At 38.1% G+C, this 23,312-nt stretch overlaps 1 long non-coding RNA gene and 1 pseudogene across 4 annotated transcripts in view; one reads left to right on the top strand and one right to left on the bottom strand.

Moving 5' to 3' along the window:
• The first annotated feature begins 1,236 nt into the window (after nt 1-1,236).
• Nucleotides 1,237-23,312, top strand: part of LOC102724701 (uncharacterized) — a 441,766-nt gene continuing 419,690 nt past the window's right edge. The window contains exons 1-3 of one of the 4 annotated variants that reach the window (XR_951131.3): nt 1,237-1,446; nt 3,714-3,816; nt 4,006-5,090. This is a non-coding gene — a long non-coding RNA (uncharacterized LOC102724701). Of the gene's footprint in view, nt 1,447-3,713; nt 3,817-4,005; nt 5,091-5,441; nt 5,540-23,312 lie in introns of those variants that run through there. The other 3 variants (XR_001755116.2, XR_001755106.2, XR_001755113.2) reach the window with 3 other exon arrangements.
• On the bottom strand, nt 5,571-6,984 carry LOC102724677 (carboxy-terminal domain RNA polymerase II polypeptide A small phosphatase 2-like; annotated as a pseudogene).

Genomic DNA, 23,312 nt, shown 5'->3' with positions numbered 1-23,312 from the left:
TAGTAGGATGTGTTGGCGGGTGACCTGTAATCCCAGCTTCTGGGGAGGCTAAGGCAGGAGAATCACTTGAACCTGGGTGGCAGATGTTGCAGTGAGCCGAGATCCTTCCACTGCACTCCAGCCTGGGTGACAGAGCAAGACTCCATCTTAAAAATAATAATAATAAGTAAAATAAATAGAAAAAGAAGAAGGAGAAGGAGAAGAAGAAGAAGAAGAAGAAGAAGAAGAAGAAAAGAAGAAGAAGAAGAAGAAGAAGAAGAAGAAGAAGAAGAAGAAGAAGAAGAAGAAGAAGAAGAAGGGGACCTTTATGTGGTCAACAAACACAAAAAAGAGAAAAGCTCATCATCACTGGAGACTAGAGAAATGCAAATCAAAACCACAATGGGATACCTTCTCACACCATGTTGAATGGCAGTTATTAAAAAGTTAGGAAACAACAGATGCTGGTGAGGCTGTGGAGGAATAGAAACACTTTTACACTGCTGGAGGGAGTGTAAATTAGTTCAACCATTATGGAAGACAGTGTGGTGATTCCTCAAGGATCTAGAACCAGAAATACCATTTGATCCAGCAATCTCATTACTGGGTATATACCCAAAGGAATATAAATCATTCTAGCATAAAGACACATGCACTCATATGTCTATTGCACCACTGTTTGCAATAGCAAAGACTTGGAACCAACCCTAATGCCCATCATTGATAGATTGGAAAAAGAAAATGTGGCACATATACACCATGAAATAATATGCAGCCATAAAAAGAATGAGTTCATGTCCTTTGCAGGGACGTGGATGAAGCTGGGAACCATTAACCTCAGCAAACTAACACGGGAACAGGAAAGCAAACACCATATGTTCTCACTCATATGTGGGAGTTGAAAAATGAGAACACATGGACACCTGGAGCCAAAGATCACACACTAAGGCCTGTTAAGGGGTTGAGGTCAAGGGGAGGGAGAAAATTAGGACAAATACCTAATGCATATGGGGCTTAAAACCTAGATGGCAGGTTGATAGGTGCAGCAAACCACCATGGCACATGTAAAACTATGTAACAAACCTGCACGTTCTGCACATGTATTCCAGAACTTAAAAACAAACTAACAAAAGTGCACTAAGTCTGAGGGGGAGTGGGGGTAAGGGCAGGAGTCAGGCGAGGGTGGGTGCGTCCTGGAGTTTTATCCAGTCATTGACACTGATGTGGGAACCGCCCAATCAGGCGCGCGGTGGCAGAGGAGAGGAAAGGAGGGCGTGGCTTCCTGCATTTGGCGGGATCTGTGTCTCTCGCTGGTGCTGGCACAGGAGCTTGGGATCTGTCTCCTCTTTCGCCTCCTGCACCTTGAGAGCCCTGGGCTACTCTGTCACAGCCCCTGTTGCCCTGCGATCTGTAGGTCCTTGGGGACGCATAGTTAAGGTGCCAGGACATCCTGGAAGCTGGGAAATGGTGAGTATACGGGGTTCGCCATCCCGAGAGGGGAGAACAGACTGTGAAACCGGCAGGACCGGCCTCCCCACGGTTAGCTCCGAGTCTCCCGCAGCTTGGCCCTCAGTCCCCTGTGGCTGCAAGATGGCCGCTGGGCCAGCAGCGAGGACCCCCACGTCCCGTCCGGCCCATCCGGTCCTGTCCCTGGGCAGCGCCCTGCTCTGCGCCCACAGCCATGAGTATTTCCCAAATTGTTCAGGGAGGCCAGATGGGTCATCAGGGAAAAACCGCGAGTGGGTGTTTGCGTGGGAGGAGCTGCGGCCCGTGGGGTCCACAGTCTCTCGTGTTAAAAATTAACGGGAGTCTATGTTAAAAGGTTCATCAGTTTATCTGAACAAAGAGTGATTGGTGAAATGGAAAGCACCCAGCCATGATTTCTGGTCCACCAGAGGGGCATAAAGGAAAGGCTTTCATAAGATGCATGAGAAAGCAACCCAAATTCAAGAATTGGTTCCAGTTATATGGTAGCCTTATTTGAACTATCCAGATGGAAATGTCCTGGTTACATATTCAGAGGTTAATTGCATGTTTGTCATGGGTTAAACCTGCATTTTGCTTCAGGCTAAGATAGTGTTTTATAGGAAATATATTTGAGTTAGGTTTTAGATTTTTTTTTGTTTGTTTTTTGTTTTTTACCTATGAACACAGGGCACTAGAGCCACTTTAGACTAATTTTCTGATCTTTAATTATTTTAACACTCCAGAGGAGGACTGGTTTTCTCCTGTGTTTTTTTAATGTATGGCAAGTGGAACCTCTAATCGACCACCCTGTTTTTCATCCTAACTCAGGCTTGCAGTAAAATTATCAGTTCCCACTTTCTTTGCTGCATTCTCAAACGCAACACATGAGACCAGCTTTCCCTTGCCAATTTACAATGCTGTTAACTATATGTCCTTTATTATACATTTCGTTAAAGTTTTCTATTATTGGGTTTCTTTCTACTTCTCCCTACAGTTCTGGCAATATTTGCTTTTTATATTTAGAAGCCTCCCTTTTGGGTGCATAAATATATAAAGCTATATTCTCTTGAGAAATTAACCTCTATTATTGTATGGTAAACTCATTTCATTCTTGTGAGAGACATTGCTAGAAAGTCTATTTTGTCTAATTTAAGCATTACCATTTCACTCCTTTGGTTATTATTTGCATGGAATATCATTTTCTATCCTTTCACTTTTAGCCTATGCTCTTAATTCATAATTGAGTCTCTTGTAAGCAGCATATTATGAGGTTTAAAAGATTAATTTATCCACTCTGTCTGCTTTAGTCTCTTTTGGCTGCTATAACAGAATATCACACACTGGTAATTAATAAAGAATAGAATTTTATTTGACTCATGATTCTGGAGGCTGGGAAGCCAAAACAACATTATACTGGTATATGTTGAAGGTCTAGTTGCTGGATAATAACATACACAAAGATGTGAGGGAGAGAGAGCTTTTTTTTTTAAATATATAACAGATCCATTCTTGTTATAATTAGCCCATTCCCATAATAAGAACGTTAATCCATTCATGAGGGCAGAGTGCTTATAGCTTAATTAATTTTTAAAGGTTCCACCTGTTAATTCTAACATGTTGGCTATTAAATTTTATCCTAAATTTTGGAGATGACATTCAGTGTACAGCAGTATCTGTTTAGTAGATACTTTAATCTTTTTATTTGTAAGGTAGTGATAGGTAAGCAGTTACTATTGTACATTTGTAGTTTTCTGTCCATTTTAAGTTTGCTTCTTTTTTTTCTGGTTCTGTCTTTCCTGTGGTATTGTTCATTTTTGTTGAGACAAAGTTATGCTTTCTTGCTCAGACTGAAGTGCAGTGGCATATCACAGCTCACTGTAGCCTTAACCTCCTGGGCTCAAATAATCGTCCCACCTTAGCCACCCAAGTAGCTTGGACTGCAGACATGTACCACAACACCCAAGGAGATTTGATTCTTCCACCTTGGCCTCCCAAAGTGTTGGAATTATAAGCAGGAGACACCATATCCAATGTGTAATTTTTGTTGTTTGTGTATGCTTTAATTACTTTCTCTTTTTCTTTACTATTTTTTTTTCCTACTGGTTATCATGAGACTTATGTAAAACATCTTGTATTTTAATAGTCTAGTTTAAGATGATAACAATTTATAGTATTCTGAAATTCAGTATGTATTTACCATTTTAGTGACATTTATACTTTAGTATTTTTCATATTGTTAGTTAGCATTTCATCATATCAATGTGAAGATTTCTTCCAGACCATGGCTGGAGAAGGAAAGAAGGTGTGTTTTGCCTGATTCAGGGACTATAGAGAGAACCAAGTTCTGCAGGCCTGTCATCTAAGTCTCAGGTGAGTATGAATTCTCTTGTGTTTTCCACAGACTGTTGCAGTGTCAGGACCAAGGTCAAATGAGTTATAGCCAAGTCTACAGTAAGATGTGGCAGTATTCTGTTTTGAAGCGAGGACCATGATTGGCAAGCTTGCCACTTGGTCAAGTGCTTACCCTCTAAAGATGTCTTCCTTGGTCTTTGCCTCCAGCTGGGTGTCACAAACTCTGAACTGGATTCCAAGGCTTTCATGAATGCACTTATGTTTGCTGTGGCAGCTGCATTATGTCGTGGGGGATGTGGATGCAGAACCTCCCATTCTGTCGTCTTGCTTATGTTACTCTCCTTTATGTTTCACTTTCTCAAATGAATGTCAAGCAGGTGATTTTCAGATTCAAAAGTTCTAAAATAAATTGCTCAAATTTACACATTATGTAAGCTGTTAATAAAATTTCTTGTAGGTGCTACATATTTATTAAAATTTTTGGTTGTAATTTTAAGCTCACTGTAGGCAGAAAGGAATCATTAAGATTTCTATTCTTTTTTAGTCTGTATCTAAATGACCATATATTTTAATTCCAAATATTTACTTTATACTTCAGTAATGCTCATTGTATTTTGCAAAATTTATATTGTTCTTTTATTTGAAAATATAAGGCTTTTTTTAGCTCCTGAAATCTATATTATAGTCATATAGTTTTATTATAGTATTTGATAAGAAGAGCAGCAACATATTGAGAACAGAATAAAATTCTGCTGTCTTTTTAATGATTATTTATTAAATTCTTCTCATTAAAGCCTATTATTAATGATTGTAATGTATTTACTGTATAATTTTACTGCAATTTATTAAATGCCAATGACTTCTAATGTCTGCTTTTCATGACTGCACACAGTTTAAAGCTGTAGATATCTAAAGGGTTATTTTTCAGCCCGGCACGGTGGCTCATGCCTGTAATCCCAGCACTTTGGGAGGCCAAGGTGGGTGGATCACGAGGTCAGGAGATCAAGACCATCCTGGCTAACACGGTGAAACCCAGTCTCTACTAAATATAGAAAAAATTAGCCGGGCATAGTGGCGGGTGCCTGTATTCCCAGCTACTCGAGAGGCTGAGGCAGGAGAATGGCGTGAACCCAGTAGGCGGAGCTTGCAGTGAGCCGAGATGGCACCACTGCACTCCAGCCTGGGCGACAGGGTGAGACTGTCTCAAAAAAAAACAAAAAGGGCTTATTTTTCATTGTATATTTATGTTGTATTCAGGATTTTATGCATTAAAATCTCTCTTCTTATTTTCAGTTCTGTGTTGTTGTGTTTCTTTTCTGGGGGGGTATGTTTTCTCAGAGCAGTTAATTGTATTTTTGCTTTTAAAGCTTGATATCATGAGTTGAATGATAATTTTTTAACTCGGTACACATTATGACAATGTGATATTTAATTTATATTTGAATTAGCTGTGTTTGTTGCTTATAGATATATCTATGTGTTTTTCACCTATGTAAGTATGTCATTTTTTTCATCTTTTTTCCTTGTTTTTTTTTTTAAGTTTCAGATATGCTTTCTTTTTCTTTTTTTTGTTTTTTTTTTTTTTAAAGAGAATTTTAAAACAGAGTCAAATGAACAAAAATCAGTTATTTGTCCTCTTGCAGGGCGGGGAGACCTTCCTTCCCCACGGGTTTGAGGCTATGGCTAAGTGGTGAGCCTTGGTGAGACGCAGAAAGGATCCATCCCAGGCACTTGGCTAGAGGTAAGTAAAAATAGCCTTTGGGCCAGAAGACCTGATAGTTTGGGTACTCGTCTGGACATAAGTCCCCATCTTCCCAGAAATGTCGTCTTTTGTCTGCAACAACTGGCTGGAGAAATATTTCAGAAAGATGTGTGCCTGGAACACCCAAAGGCATACCTTTCCTTTCTCCTTGGCATAGGCCTTGCAGCACTGAAGAAAGACCAGGTTTGCAACGGAGCCTTCAATACTCTTCATCCCTATGGATCTCAGGGGCTCATAGGGTGACAGGAGAGGAGACAAGCTAGCTTGGGAAGAGTCTTTGTCCTTCAGCTTCTCCTCTACTGAAACACTATATACTTGGGGCCACAGTTCATAGCAAAACACACATGCTGTCTTTCTTTCTCTCACACCCCCATCTCGGGAACCCAACAACTTGATGGCAGGTAGCTCTGGGTATCCTTGGTCTGGCATTCACCCACTGGGCATCTAAGCTGTCCTAAAGCTCTTTTCAATCACTTCTCACTGTTTCCAGGCCCATGTGGGTAGGTGTTCCAGCCTTCACTCTTTCAGGCTGTTCATAAAGGCACAGTGTGGGAAAATCCCCTACTGTGATGGCCATTGCTGGGAAGCAGGGAAGGTTAAGGGCCCACTGCTGCCCAAGGCTAGTGTAGACACCCTCTGCTCCTCCACTCATCTCCTCAAATAATGATATCAGGTGCAGCAGCTGCTGTCTGGAATGTTATCAAACCAGGACTGCACAGGCACTGCATTCTCTGTGTGGAAGATGTAAGAAGCAGGCGAGTTGTCCAGGATGAGTTTTCCTCAGGTCCCTCCCCAGATGGCTGACGTCCTTGACATAGCAGCCCTGGTGAAACAAACATGACTCATGGGACAGGCAGCCCCAGACCATCCCATACCCGTCCAGCTCACCCGTCACAGGATCTGCCTACTTGTTCAGGCTGGGAAGAAGAGAGCAATGACGAAAACACATTTAAACATTTCCTCCATTCATGTCAGGAACTCATCCATATAAGGCCTCATGAGCACATGGATCTGGTGCATGGTCCCCTCAAGCTCTACAGGCACTAGGCAGTCAGCATTGCTGATTGGCTTAAAGGAGCTATGCACAAGGGTTTCATCCAGGTCAGTGACCATACAGATCCTTCCTTGATTTTTCTCTGTCACCTCTGGGAGCAGGCAGGTTCCTGGGATCTGATAAAACTGATATTGGAGACGCTGGAGCTGATCCGACATAGCAATGGTGTTGACTCCCTCCTTATGTGTGGATTGCTCAGCGGGGGAACTTGACTGTCCAACATGCTGGGTGCAAGAACAGCAGAAAGGGGACTTTTAAGATGTGGCAAACATGAGGCCTCTTCGGAGAGGACTTTGGAAACCAGGCCTTGCTTGGTAAGGACCAGGGCATCTTCCCTCCATGCCTGGGTGATGATGGAGCCTTGTTCCATCTAACAATCCTGAGGGCTGGGCTGGGGGGCATGGGCTGGGGCCTGATTCAGTTCCCGAGATTCTGACCTCCACAGCTGTTCACATACCCCTTCTCCTTTCCATACTGGCCGGGAAGGGAGGTGGCTTGTAGGGAGGGTGGTTGGCCTTGGCAGCGGCTCCCCAGTGTGCCCCCATCCCCGATTCCCCCAGCGAGAGCTTCAAGATCCTCAGTTTGGGTCTAACATAGAGAATCCACCAGAAACACATTTTTTTTTCAAGTTTTATTTTAAGTTCAGGGGTCCATATGTGATAAAGTTTATTTTTCAACTTTTATTTTAAGTTTAGGGGTCCATGTGCAGAGTATGCAGGTCTCTTACATACATAAATGCGTACCACTGTGGTTTACTGCACAGATCATCTCATCACCCAGGTACCAAGCCCAGCATCCGCAGCTATTCTTCCTGATGCTCTCCTTCCCCTCCCCCATGCCATGAAACAGGTGTCCAGTGTGTGTTGTTCTTCCTGATGTGTCCATGTGTTCTCATTGATCTGCTTCTGCTAATAAGTTAGAATAATAATAGGCGGTGTTTGGTTTTCTGTTCCTGCATTAGTTTGCTGGGAGTAATGGCTTCAAATTCCAACCATGTCCCTGCAAGGGACATCATCTCATTACATTTTATGGCTTCATAGTGTTCCATGGTGTATGTGTACCACATTTCCTTTATCCAGTGTATCATTGATGGGCATGTAGATTGATTACATGATGTTGCTATTGTAAATAGTGCTGCAATGAACATTTGTATACATGTATTTTTAAAATAGAATTATTTATATTCCTTTGGGTGTAATGGTATTGCTGGGTCAAATGGTAGTTCTGCTTCTAGGTCTTTGAGGAATCTCCACACTCTCTTCCTCAATGCTTGAAATAATTTACACTCCCACCAACAGTGTAAAAGTGTTCCCTTTTCTCCACAACCTCGCCAGCATCTGTTTTTTTTTTTTTTACTTTTTATTAATAGCCATTATAATTTGTGTGAGATGGTATCTCATTATGGTTTTGATTTGTATTTATGCAGTTATCAGTGATGTTGAGCTTTTCATGTTTGTTGGGCACATGTATGTCCTCTTTTGAGATATGTCTGTTCATGTTCTTTGACCCTTTTTTAATGGGGCCTTTTTTTTTTCTCTTGTAAATTTTGTTAAATTCCTCCTAGATTCTGGATATTAGACATTTGTGAGATGGATAGGTTGCATAATTTTTCTCCCATTCTCTAGGTTGTCTGCTCTGATGATAGTTTCTTTGGCTCCGCAGAAGCTCTTTAGTTTAATTAGACCCCATTAGTCAATTTTTGCTTTTGTTGCTATAGCTTTTTGCCTTTCTGTCATAAAGTCTTTTCTCATGCCTATATCCTGAATGGTATTATCTAGATTTTTTCTTCTAAGGGTTTTATAGTTTTGGGTTGTACATTTAAGTCTTTAATCCATCTTGAGTTAATTTTTGTACATGGTGTTAAGAAGGGTTCCAGTTTAAATTCTCTGCATATGGCTAGCCAGTTCTCCTAGCACCATTTTTTGAATAGGGACACCTTTCCCTAATTCCTTGTTTTTGTTAACTTTGTCAAAGATCAGGTTGTTGTAGGTTTTTGGCTTTATTTCTAGGTTCTCTACTTTGTTTCATTTGTCTATGTGTCTGTTTCTATACCAGTACCATGCTGTTTTTGTTACTGTACTCTTCTAGTATAGTTTGAAGTTAGGTAGAGTGACACTTCCAGCTTTTTTTTTTTTTTTCTTAAGGTTGGCTTGGCTATTTGGGCTCTTTTTTGGTTCCATATGAACTTTAAAAGTTTTTATTTTTCTAATTCTCTGAAGAATGTCAGTAGTTCAATGGGAATAGCATTGAATCTATGAATTACTTAGGGCCATATGCCCATATTCATGATACTGATTCTTCCTCTCCATGAGCATGGAATATTTCTCCATCTGTTTTGTGTCCACTCTGATTTCTCTGAGCAGTTGTTTGTGGTTCTCCTTGAAGAGGTCCTTCACTTTCTTTCTTAGCTGTATTCCTAGGTATTTTTTTCTCTTTGTAGCAAATGTGAATGAAAGTTCATTCATGATTTGTCTCCCTGCTTGCCTGTTGTTTGTGCATGGGAATGCTAGCTACTTTTGCACATTGATTTTATATCCTGAGATTTTGCTACTGTTGCTTATCACCTTAAGAAGCTTTGGGCCTGAGACAATGAGGTTTTCTAGATGTAGGATCAGGTCATCTGCAAACAAAGATAATTTGACTTCCTCTCTTTCTATTAGAATACTCTTTATTTCTTCCTCTGGCCTGATTTTCCTGGCCAAGGCTTCTGATACTATATTGAATGGTAGTGGTGAAAGAGGGCATTCTTTTCTTGTGCCAGTTTTCAGGTGGAACGTTTCTAGCTTTTGCACATTCAGTATGATATTGGTTGTGGGTTTGTTGTATATGGCTCTTATTATTTTCAGGTATGTTTCTTCACTTCCTAGTTTATTGAGAATTTTAAACCTGAAGGAATGCTGAATTTTATTGGATGCTTTTTCTGCATTTATTGAGATAATCATGTGGCTTTTTATTTAGTTCTCTTTATGTGATGAGTCACATTTATTGATTTGCATTTGTTGAATCAACCTTGCATCCTGGGGACAAAGCCAACTCCATTGTTGCAGATGAACTTTTTAATATGCTGCTGGATTTGGTTTGCCAGTATTTTATTGAGGATTTTTGCACAGTGTTTACCAAAGACATTGGCATGATGTGTTGTTGTTGTTGTTGTTGTTGTTGTAGTATCTATGTTAGGTTTTGGTATCTGGATGATGCTGGCCTGATAGAATGAGTTACAGAGAACTTTGTCTTCAATTTTTTTTGGATGGTTTTAGGAGAAAAGGTACCATCTCCTCTTTGTACCTCTGGTCAAATTCAGCTTGCTTGGTAGGCTAGTTATTACTGCCTCAGTTTCAGAACACATTATTGATCTATTCAGGGTTCAGTCTTGTGGAGGGTTTATTTTGCAAGGAAATTGTCTATTCTAGATTTTCTGGTTTATGTGCATACAGATGTTTATAGTGTTCTCTGATGGTTGTTCTTATTTCCATGGGACCAGTGATGATATCTCCCTTATTATTTCTAATTGTGTTTGGTTCTCCTTTCTTTTCTTATTTATTTGCCTAGCTAGTGTTCCATCTAGTTTATTAATTTTTTTCATAAAACAGCTCCTGGATTTGTTGACTTTTTTTTTTTGGAAGAGTTTTCAGTGTCTCTATCTCCTTCAGCTCTACTTTGATCTTGGTTATTTCTTGTTTTCTGCTACCTTTCTGGTTAGTTTTCACTTGGTTTTCTAGTTCTTTTAATCAAGATGTTAGGCTGTTAACTTTAGATCTTTCTAGTTTCTCTTTTTTTTCTTGTGGCAGAGTCTCACTCTGTCACCCAGGCTGGAGTACAGTGGCATGATCTCTGCTCACTGCAACCTCCACTTCTCAGTTTTAAGTGATTTCTGCTGTCTCAGCTTCCTGAGTAGCTGGGATTACAGATGTGCATCACAAAAACCAGCTAATTTTTGAATTTTTTTTTGTAGAGGTGGGGTTTTGCTGTGTGTTCCAGGCTGGTCTTGAACATCTGGCCTTAAGTGATTTGCCTACCCCAGCCTCCCAAAGTGCTGGAATTACAGGCATGAGCCACCACGCCCAGCCCTTTCTAGCTTTTTGATGTGGACATTAGTGCTATAAATTTCCCTCTTTTCTTGGTTTCCAGTGATTATTTTATTCTATCTTGGTGAGTCATCAGGGAAATAATCTTAAATTTACAATCAACATATAGTTTAAATCCATATAATTGTGTGAGAATAACCCTTTGTTATTTGAAGGTGATGTTTGAAAGGTTTTCTAACTGTGCCTTTTAGTTAGTCTTAAATTTCTAATTGTAGTTAAAAACATGCCATTGTCATTTCTGAAATTTTAAGTATATGGTTTAGAAGTGGTTAGTATAGTTCTATTGTTTTGCAGTAGCTTTTAGATAATTTTTGTCTTACAAAAGTAAAAGTGAATACTCATTACTTGTGAAAGAAGTTAGTTAGCTTACCTTAGGTAGATAGCAAGAGAAGAGTCCCTGGAAAGTCCCTGGTCAGTGCCTCATCCCTGCATAACATGTAAAGAAGCCTGGAAAAAATCAAGCTGCAGACACTAACAAGGGAACTAACATATGTTGTTGTGCTTGGAGACATGCCCGTGGCTGCAGAGATAGAAAAACCTCTGGCCCATTTGGATAAAAACTTGTACAAACCTCCAGCTCACTCAGATAAAGGAACAAGAACGACCTAGCACAGAAATGCCTTTGTTTGGCCAGCCACGGTGGATCATGCCTGTAATTCCAACAATGTCGGAGGCAGCTGTGGGCGGATCATCTGAGGTCGGGAGTTTGAGACCAGCATGACCAAGATGGACAAACCCTGTCTTTACTAAAAATACAAAACTAGCCAGGCATGGTGCTGCATGCCTATAATCCCAGCTACTTGGGAGGCTGAGGCAGGAGAATCGCTAGAACCCAGGAGGTGGAGGTTGCTGTGAGCCGAGATCGCACCATTGCACTCCAGGCTGGGCAACAAGAGCAAAACTGCAAAAAAAATAAAATAAAATAAAAAAAGAAAGTACATCTCAAAAAAAAGAAAGAAAGACAAGAAAAAGAAAAAAAAAAGAAACACCTTTGTCTTTGTACAGTCAGTGGGCTCCCAGGAAAATGTTCCTTCTCTTTTTGTTGGCATGGACACTGTGGAATCTGGTACATTCCGGTAGACATTCTCCTTTATTTGGACTGTAAGTCTGACCTCTATGAATAATTACTTCAGCCCCTGATTGCTCCCGTGCCAAGCTCCTTGGCCAAACTTTCACCTTAGCTTCTGGTAAGTCTTGGGCCAAGCTAAGCAGCATCTATCAATCATCCCTTCAGCTCCTGATTGGTCCTGGGCCAAAGGCCTGGGCCAAGCTGAGCCACACGTTTTTCAAGACAGCCTGTGAACTAGGCACATATCCTTCCCTTCCCAGTCCATAAAAACCCTGGACCCAGCCTCGTAGAGGGCACCACTTTCAGACACCTATCTCTGCTGGCAAAGAGCTTTCTTCTCTTGCTTCTTAAACTTTCACTCCAACCTCACCTTTGTGTTTACACTCCTTAATCTCCTTAGAGGTAGAACAAAGAACTCTGGATGTTATCTCAGACTACGAGAGACTGTTACATCTTGGTGCACTGCTGAGACTATGACACTTGGTTTCTTTGAGTTTGACTAAATATTTTACATGAGTGTAATTATACAGCTTTCCTTTTTGACTGTCTTATTTTACTTAACAGAATGTTTTGAATATTTGTCCTTATTGTAGTACTTTTCAAGATTTCCTTATTTTTAAGGCTGAATGCTATCCCAGTGATTGTACGTGCCCTGTTTGCTGAATCTACTCATCCTTAAGGGTACATTTGCTTCCAGGTAACATGTTTGTGACTAATACTACAATGTGCATATATCTATTCCATGTTCTGCTTTGTCTGTTTGGGATATTTTTCATACACTGATTCAGTACCATGTGTATTCCCTTGCTTTTGTTGTCTCATCCGTTGATGTTACGTCCCCCAAATTATTGCCACGACCAGTTGTCATGAAGCTTCACCCTTCTGTATTGTGCTAGGAATTTTACAGCTATAGGTTTTACATTATAGTCTTCATTCATTTTTTAAAATTGACACATGTAATTGTGCATATTTTGGGGAAACAATTATATATATATGTTGTATAACAATAAAAATCAGAGTACTTCTATACTTGTTGCCTCATGCATTTGTTATTTTTGTGGTGAGAATATTCAAAAGCTTCTTCTCTAGCTATTTTATTTTATCTTTAAGTATTAAATTTTTTTAGAGACAGGATCTTGCTCTAACACCCAGACTGGTGTGCAGTGGTGCAATCTTAGCTCACTGTAACTTCAAACAGTCTTCTAACCTTAGTTTCCCAATTAGCTGAGACTACAGGAAGCTGCCACCATGCCTGGCTAATGTTTTAATTTTTCATAGAGACAGGGTCACACTATGTTGTCCAGGCTCATCTTGAACTTCTGACGTCAAGTGATTCTCCTACCTCAGTCTCCCAAAATGTATGGATTGCAAGAATGTGCCACCGAAACTGGTCTCTTTTAGCTATTTTGTAATATGAGATAACTTTTCATTAATTATTATTATTCTACTGTGTAATAAAAAACAAAAACTTATTTCCCCTATCTAATCATAACACAATACCTGTGAAGCAACCTTTTCCCATCCTCCTGCTTCAGTCTCTGGTAACCCCTGTTGTACTCTTTGCTTCTATCAACCCTTTTTTTCAGGTTCCTCAAATGAGTGAGATAATAAGATCATAAAGTATTTGTGTTTCTCTATGTGGCTTATTTTACTTAACATGGTATGCTCAAGGTTCATCCATGCTCTTTTAACTGACAGAATTTTATGCTTTCTTATGGCTGAATAGTATTTCGCTGTGTATATATAGTACATTTTCCTTATCCATTTATCTGTTGCTGTACATTTGAATTGATTCCATATATAAGCTATTATAAATAGTTCTGTAATGAACATGGGAATGCAAATATCTTTTTGACACAGTAATATCCTTTCTTTTGGATATACACCCAGAAGTAAAATTGCTGGATCATATAATAGATATATTTTTAATTTCTTTCAGAAACCTCCATACTATTTTCTATAATGGCCATACTAATTTACAATTCCACCAACAAGGTATACATCCACTCTTTTTTATATCCTCATTAGTTCTTGATTTATTTATTTATTTTTATTATAGCCACTCTAATGGGAATGAGGCGGTACTTCATTATGGTTTGGATTTGCATTTCCTTGGTGATTAGTAATGTAGAGCATCTTTTTATGTTCCAGTTAGCATTTTTGTATCTCTTTTTGACAAACATCTATTAAGATCTTTTGCATTTTTAAAGTTAGATTATAAGTGTATTTTATTTTGAGATTTTAAAGTTTCTTATATATTCTGAATATTAGCCTTTTGTCACATGTATATGAAAACATTTTCTGTCATTGCCTAAGCTGTCTCTTCAAACTTCTAGTTGTTTTTTTAATATGGAAAAGCATTTTAGTTTGACATAATGTTGTTTGCTTATTCTCGATTTTGTTGCCCATGTTTTGAAATCTTATTTTAATAATCCTTTCCCCATCCAATGTTATAAAGCATTTTTTTATGTTTTTCTCTAATAGTTTCATAATTGATGGCATTACATTTAAGTCTTTAGTTTTAGTTGATTATCATATATGGCAAGGTACAAGGGTCTAGTATTATTTTTCTGCATATAAATATTTAAGTGGCCCTGCACCATTTATTAAAGAGATTAGCTTTTCTCTAAAGTGTGTTCTTGGCAATTTTGTTGACAATCAGTTGGCTTTAGGTGCATAAATTAACTTCTGGGCTTATTCGGCACATTAGTCTATGAGTTTGTTTTTATGCCAGTACAGTGCTGTTTTGGTTACTGTAGCTTTATAGCAAGTTTTGAAGTTTGATGAAGTGATGCCTTTAGCTTTGCTTATTTTGCTCAAAGTTGCTTTGTCTATTCAGAGTTTTTTGTGGATCCATATAAATTTAAATTTTTTTTATTTCTGTGAAAAAATGTCATTGGTACTTTGATAAAAATCACATTAAGTCTGTAGATCACTTTGGGTAGATAGATCAAGAGTATTCTTCCAGTGTATAAACACAATATTTTTTCATTTATTCATTTGTATTTTATATTTTTTATCCATGTTTTGTCGTTTTCAGAGTAGAGATCTTTTACCTTTTTAGTTAAGTTTGTTGCTAGGTGTATTAGTTGGGCTTCCCTAGAGAGATCATGAGATCCCACAATAGGTTGTCTGCAAGTTTGAGGAGCAAGGAGAGGCGGTCCATGTCCCAAAGCTGAAGAACTTGGAGTCTGATGTTTGAGGGCTGCAAGTGTCCAGCACAGGAGAAAGATGTAGTCTGGGAGCTTAGGCCAGTCTCTCTTTTTCACGTTTTTCTGCCTGCTTTATATTCACTGTCAGCTCATTAGATGGTGCTCACCCAATTAAGAGTGGATCTCCCTTTCCCAGCCCACTGACTCAAATGTTAATCTCCTTTGGCAACACCCTCACAGACACACCCAGGATCAATGCTTTTTATCCTCCAATCCAATCAATTTGACACCCTGTATTAGCCATCACATTAAGTATTTTCATTTTTGTAGCTTTTGCATATGCAGAAGAAGAATTGGATGAAATTCAGCCTTCATTATGATGAAAACTCTCAACAAGTTAGGAATAGAAGGTATGTGCCTTAATACAGTAAAGGCCATTTATGAAAAAGCAATGCTAACTTTATACTGAATAAGGAAAAGTTGAAAGCTTTCTCTCTGAGATCTGGAACAAGACAAATCATCCAAACTTTCAGCCCTCTTATTCAACATAGTACTGGAAGTCCTAGCCAAGGAAATTAGGCAAGAGGAAGAAATAAAAGTTATACTAATTGGAAAGGATGAAGTCAAATGGTCTCTCATTGTGGACAAAATAATCTTATATGTGAAAAACTCTAAACACTACACCAAAAACTATTAGAACTACTAAACAAATTCTGTAACATTGCAGAAAATTAACACAGTAGTAGCTTTCTGTATGATGATAGCGATAAAATTTTAAATTCCATTTTAATAGCTACCAAAAATTAGTTATTTTGAGTTTATTTCTTTATTTGTGGTGGAGTCTTTCTCTGTCACCAGGCTGGAGCGCAGTGGCATGATCTCAGCTCACTGAAACTCTTGCCTCCCGGGTTCCAGAGATTCTCCTGCATCAGCCTCCCGAGTGTGTGGAACTGCAGGCGTGTGCCACCACTGCCAACTAATTTTTGTTTGTATTTTTAGTAGAGACGTGGTTTCCCCATGTTGGCCAGGATGGTCTTGATATCCTGACCTTGTGATTCACTTGTCTCTGTCACCCAAAGTGCAGGGATTACAGGTGTGAGCCACTACACCCAGCCTTGAGTTTATGTTTTTATCTGGTGCAAGGTAAGGTCTAACTTTGTTATTTTTTCCTTGTAAATTTTTATTATTCCCAATACTGTTTGTTGAAGAGACTGTTCTTTCCTTTTTGTGATTCTTGGAACACATTTTAAAAATATGTTTACTATACCCATGAGGACTTATGTCTGGACTGTCTCATCTGTTTCATCATTCATTTGTCTTTATGTCAGTACCAAACTGTTTTTATTACTATATCTTTGTAGTATGTTTTGAAAATAGAAAGCATGATGCCTCTGTCTTTATATTTTTTTCCCAATATTTTTTGGCTGTTTGTGATAACTTGAAATTCCATAAAAATTGTAGAATATTTTAAAACTTCTGCAAAAAGTTTCATTGGTATTTTGATAGAAAGTATATTGAATCAGCTGAGGGTCGTGGCTCATACCTGTAATCCCAGCACTTTGGGAGGCTGAGGAAGGTGGATCACCTGAGGTCAGGAGTTCCAGACCAGCCATGGAGAAACCCCATCTCTACTAAAAATACAAAATTAGCCAGGTGTGGTGGCACATGCCTGTATTCCCAGCTACTCAGGAGGCTGAGGCAGGAGAACAGCTTGAACCCAGGAGGTGGAGGCTGCAGTGAACTGAGATCGCACCATTGCACTCCACCTTGGGCAACAAGAGCAAAACTCCGTCTCAAAATAAATAGAAAGAAAAGAAAAGAAAGAACATTGAATCCGTAGACCACTTTTGGTTGTAGTGACATTTTAACAATATTAAGTCTATAACCTCTTGAACAAGAGTGTTTTTGAGAATTTGTTGTTTAATTTTACTTATTCTTTGACATGCTAGTGTTTTTAACTTCTTGTTTTATTGTATCATAGTTAGGAATAATTTGTGTAATTCCATCTGCTTAAATTTGCTAAGATGTGTTTTTTAACTTAACAGGTGGTCTATCTGGAATATTTTGGCATGTGTGATTAAAAGTATTGCATATTCTACTGTTGAGTGGAGAGACATAAATATGACTGTTAGGTCTAATTGTTCTATTGTGTTGTTGAAATCCTCTGTTTACTTATTCATCTTATGTTTGTTTTTTAATTTACATTACTAAAAGTCTGATAAAAAAGTCATCTACTGTTATGTGCTGGCTACTTCATGTTTCAATTCTGTAAAATGTTGCTTCATATTTTGGGAACTGTGATGTAAGGCACATACATTACTGTTGCTTTTATTGTTGTATGTTGTTTTATTGTTGCTTTTATTGATGTATGTTGTTTTTTGTTGCTTTTATTGTTGTTGTTTTTATTGTCTTTTTCTTCTTCTCTCTTGAGGAAGTTTTTGATATAATATATATTTTGTCTACCATGACAATATTTGATTTTGCATTTAATTTTTTTTATTCTTTCATGTATGGCTTATGCGTGTTCCAGATCATAATGTGGTCATTTGTAGGAAGCAGAGAGTTGAATCTTGTTTCATGAATTTATTTAGTGAAAGTATGTTTTTGATTGACATAATTTATATATATAAAAAATCATTACTAAAAGGGAATGATTTCCTATGACTTTCTATTGAATTTTGTTTCTTTTTTGTTTTAGGTCCTGTAGCTTTTTCTTTTGAGAAGGAGTTTTGCTCTGTTGCCCAGGCTGGAGTGCAGTGGTGCAATCTTGGCTCACTGCAAGCTCCACCTCCCGGATTCACGCCATTCTCCTGCCTCAGATTCCCCAGCAGCTGGGAATACAGGCACCCGCCACCATGCCCGGCTATTTTTATTTTTATTTATTTATTTTTTTTAGTAGAGACAGGGTTTCACCGTGTTAGCCAGGATGGTCTCAATCTCCTGACCTCGTTGATCCCCCCACCTCGGCCTCCCAAATTGCTGGGATTACAGGCATGAGCCACAGCTCCTGGCCTGTCCTGTAGCTATTATTTCCTGTTTTTCTCTCTTGTTCTCTTTCTTAGCGTATTATTGATTTTTATAGTGACATGTTTTACTTCTTTTCTCACTACTCTCTCTGTGTGTATGTCTTTGTGTGTGTGTACTATAGGTATTTCCTTTTTTTTTTTTTTGACAGGGTCTTGCTCTGTCGCCCAGGCTGGAGGGCAGTGGCACAATCTCTGCTTATTGCAAGCTCTGCCTCTCAGGCTCAACTCAAACAATCCTCCCACCACAGCCTTCTGAGTACCTGGGACCACAGATGTGCACCACTACTCCTGGCTAATTTTTGTTATTTTTCATAGAGACAGGGTTTTGCCATGTTGACCAGACTAGTCTCAAAATCCTAAGTACTATAGGTATTTTCTTTGTTGTTACTATAGATATTACCAAAAATAACTACTATAGCATATAAAACCCTGCCTCTTTATGGCTCCCTATGTGTTTTATTGATGTCGCGAATTACATCATTTTATATTGTGAATCTATTGGCACAGTTATATAGTCATTTTTAAGTCTTTGTTATCTCAACTACATAGCAGAATTAAAAGTATTCTGTGCATCTTCATTATAATAACAAAGAATATTATAATTCTGTACATAATTATCTGTTAGAAAACTTTATATTTTACATAATTCTATGTTGCTCTCATCATTATTTTATTTTTTAATGTGAATGACTAGCATTTTTTAATACAGGCCTAGTGTGCATAAATTAATACAGTTTTCGTTGATCTTGAATATTCTTTATTTTTATTTTTTAATTCATTTGAAATGATAGCTTTGGCAGACATAGTGTTCTTGGTTGGTATTTGCCATTTTTTTCAGCACTTTGAGTATGTCATCCTACAACCTCTTGCCTGCATTCTATTGGCTGAGACATCTGCTGGTCATCCTATAGGGGTAACATTGTACATGCTAAGTCATTTTTTCTTGCTGACTTCAAGATTCTCGGTGTTTTAACATTTGAATCTCTGATTAAAATGTGTCTTGTCATGGGTCTCCCTGTGTTGCTACTAGTTGGTAAAGTTTCATTAAATTTTAGGCCATTTTCTCCCTCAAATTTTGAGAGTTCTCAGCCACTGTTTGTTTCTTGAAATAACTTTGCTGCTCTCTTTTCTCTCTTTTTATTTTAGAATTCCCATTAGAAGTATATTGGCCATCTTAATGGTATCCCATAAGTCCCTTAGGCTTTCTTAATTTTTAAAATTATTTTTACCCTCCTCACCATATAATTTCAAATGACTTTTTATGAAGCTTGCTGGATTTTTTCCTGCTAGATCAAACCAGTTGTTGGACCTTCTAGTGAATCTCTAAATTCAGGTATTTTATTTTTCAGCTCCACACTTTATGTTTCTATTTTATACTTTTAATCACTTCATTGATAATCTCATTATCTTCATGAATTGTTTTCTTTTTCTGTTTAGCTTTCTATGTTCTTCTTTAGCTGAATGAGCATCTTTAAGCTAGGTGTTTTAGCCAGGCACATTGATATTTGTGTCTAATTCCAGCTACTTTGAAAGCTAAGGCAAGGGGATTACTGTATTAATAAATTCTCATGCAGCTAATAAAGACATAACCAAGACTGGATAATTCATAATGAAAAAGGTTAATGGCCTCACAGTTTCACATGGCTGGGGAGGTCTCACAATTATTGGAGCAAGCAAGAGACTTTGTTCAGAGGAATCTCCACTTATAAAACCATCAGATCACGTGAGACTTTTTTGCTATCATGAGAACAGCATGGGAAAATCCCACCCCCATGATTCAATTACCTCCCACAGAGTACCTCCCAGGACATGTGGAGATTATTACAATTCAAGGTGAGATTTGGTTGGGGACAGAGAGCCAAACCATATCAATTACTTAAGGCTAGGAGTTTGAGACCACCCTGGGCAATATTGTGAGAAGCTATATGTAAAAAATATTTTTACAGATTAATCATGAATGGTGGAATGTTCCTGTAGTCTCGGAAGTTGGAGGCTGATGTAAGATTATTCCTTGAGTTCCCAGGAATTTGAGGCTGCATTGAGTTATAACCATGATATTGTATTCCTGTCTGGGTGAGAGAGTAAGACCGCCTTTTAGAATTTCAAATTTGTTTTAGATTTAGGAGGTACCTACACAGGTTTTTTACATGGGTATTTTGTATAGTGCTGAGGTTTGAAATATAAGTAATTCCATCACTTATGCAGTGAGCATAGTACTAAATAGACAGTTTTTCAGTTCTTGATCCCTCCCTCTCTCCACCCTCTAAGAGTTGTCTTTTATTTTTATTTTTATGTCCATGTGTACCCAGTGTTAATTTCCATTTATAAGTGAGAACATCAGTATTTTTGTTTTCCATTTCTGCATTAATTTGATTGTAGAATGACCTTTAGTTGTATTAATGTTGCTGCAAAGGACAAGTTTTTTTGTTGTTGTTGTTGTTTTTGCTAAGTAGTATTGCTGTACATGTGACACTTTTTAAATTCAATTTAGCATTAATAGGCTGGACACGGTGGCTGATGCCTGTAATCCCAGCACTGTGGGAGGCCAAGGTGAGTGGATCATGAGGTCAGGAGATCGAGACCATCCTGGACAGCATAATGAAACCCCCGTCTCTACTGAAAATACAAAAGTTAGCCGGACGTGTTGTCATGAGCCTGTAGTCCCAGCTACTCGGGTGGCTGAGGCAGGAGAATTGCTTGAACCTGGGAGGTGGAGGTTGTAGTGAGCTGAGATAGTGCCACTGCACTCCAGCCTGGGCAACAGAGTGAGACTTCATCTCAAAAAAAAAAAAATACCATTAATAGTCACGTAGGTTGATTCATGTCTTTCCTGTTATAAATAATGCAGTGATGAACCAACAAGTGCATGTGCTGTTTTGGTAGAATAGTTTATTCTCTTCTGGGTATACACCCAGCGGTGAAATTCTGCGTTGAATCATAGTTCAACTCTCAGTTATTTGGAAAATCTCCAAGCTGCTCTCCACAGTGGCTGAACTAATTTATATTCCTATAAACAGTGTATAAGTGGTTTTTTCCCTCTAAAACCCCACCAATATCTACTATCATTTTACTTTTTAACAAAAGCCATTCTAACTGGTGTACGATGGTGTCTTACTGTGGTTTTTATTTACATTTCCTTGATGGTTAGTGATAAGCTTTTTTCATGTTGTTTGGCCACTTGTATGTATTCTTTTGAACATTGTCTGTTATTGCCCACTTTTTCATGGGGTAATTTTTTGCTTGTGAATTCTTTAAGTTTCTTATAGATTCTGAGTATTAGATTTTGTCAGGTTTATAGGTTGTGAATATTTTTGCCATTCTGCCAGCTTTGGGGTTAGTTTGTTTTTGTTTTTCTAGTTTCTCTAAGTGTGATGTTAAATTGTTAGTTTGAGATCATTCTAACTTCTTGATGCAGGTATTTAGCACTCTCAACTTTCCTCTTAACAGAGCTTTTCCTACAACCCAGACATTTTAGTATATTGTGTCTCTTCATTTATTTCAAATTTTTTTTAAGTTTCTGCCTCAATTTTGTTGTTTACCCAAAATTCATTCAGGAGCAAGTTGTTTAATTTCAATGCCATTCTGTGATTTTGTGAGATTTTGTTGGTATTGATATTTATCTTTTTTCCATTGTGGCCTGACAGTATGGTTGGCATAATTTTCATTTTTAAAAAATGTATGGATAATTGCTTTATGGCTAGGAAGTGGTCAATCCTAGAGTATATTCTGTGAGCGATGAGAAGAATTTATGTTCCTTAGATGATGTGTGGTGTATACTATAAATGTCTATTAGTTTCAATTGATCAAGTGCGAAATCAAACTCCAGAATTTCTTTGTTAAGTTTCTGCCTAGATAATCTGACAAACACTGTTATTGGGGAGTTGCGTTTCCCTACTATTATTGCGTGGCTACTTGAGTCTTATTGTAGGTCTAGCAGTACTTGTTGTATAACTCTATGTTCCCCAAAGTTGGGTGCATCTATATTTAGGATAGTTAAGTCTTCTTGTTGAATTGAACTCTCTATCGTTATGCAATGCCTTTCTTTGTTTTATTTTACTATTAATGATTTAAAGTCCTTTTTTCTTAAAAGAGAAACAATTCCAGGTATGGTGGCTCATGCCAGCACTTTCAGACTGAGGCAGTAGGATTGCCTGAGACCAGGAGTTTGAGACCAGCCGAGGCAACATAACAACATTCTGTTTGTACAGATTCTTTTAAAGAAACTATACAGGTGTGGTAGTGTGCCCAACTGTGGTCATATTTACTCAGGAGACATAGGAGGCATGACTGCTTTACTTCAGAAATTTGAGGTTACAGTGAGCTGTGATTGCACCACTGCAATCTGTCCCAGGAGATAGAGTAAGATCCTGTGTATAAAATGAAAAAATAAAGAAAAATAAAATGATTTTAAGTTAAAAAATAATTCATAGATCTCCACTTCTTTAGGGTCACTTGAATATATATTTTTCTCGTTTCATTAGGCTATATTTCCTGGTTGCTTTTAAGTACTGTGGTTTTGTTAAGGTTTTGGTCAATTAAGAAACCACTACCTATTTTATCCTTTATGAAAAAGCTTTGTACATGGGAAAATTGACAATATTCAGCCACACTAGTCATTCCGGGAGCTTCTCCAATCTGTTGTCAAAATGTGTCTTCTTTGTACTGTATGTATTTTCTTGTTAATAAGGTTTACCTCTCTTTCCTCTTAGGAGCCTTTAGTCTCTTCTCTTTGTCACTGTTGCAGGCACTACAGTCTCTTTGTTGTAAGAAATATTTATCTTTATTCTCAGTCGACCCAAGCTGTCATTTAAACTCTATCTCTATTCTGGTCAACACTAAATGTTAAAGGTATAAATCAATAAGTCAGAAGTTTGCATACACGTTTCACTCTGTTTTCTTTCCCGAGGGAGAATCATGGAATGGACAGAATTTTATCTAACTGCACTGTTCTGTAGTGCAGAAATGTAACCAAATTTTCTTTCTTCTAAATGTGGTTATGGTTGGCTTTTTTCTCATGAGGGGTGCTACAAACTCAACTGGCTTTGCTCACCCAATTGCAGTTAAGTTCATACATCCATTGAGAGAAACAGGATCTCAGGTTCTTCTTCAACTATCATTGTGTTCTCAGCTGGCCTCATTTTGTTCATTAGATTTATAAAATATATTTACCTTAATTTCATCACCGAATTTTTTAAAAAATTATTATTTTCCAGCTCTTTTAGCATTATATCCAACAAGACCCAGACAAAACAGTACATAGGAGCTTCTTTTCAAAAAGTAATATTGGGAAGATATGGGAGCTCTGGCCTTGAAAATTTACACTTAAGGAGAGTGGGAAATTGAAGGATAAGTGTAAAGGGTACAAA

Source organism: Homo sapiens, chromosome 21 (assembly GCF_000001405.40).
Source record: "Homo sapiens chromosome 21, GRCh38.p14 Primary Assembly".
Taxonomy (NCBI): domain Eukaryota; kingdom Metazoa; phylum Chordata; class Mammalia; order Primates; family Hominidae; genus Homo; species Homo sapiens.
The sequence above is the reverse complement of the archived record's forward strand: the minus strand, read 5'-3'. Positions and strand labels throughout refer to the sequence as shown.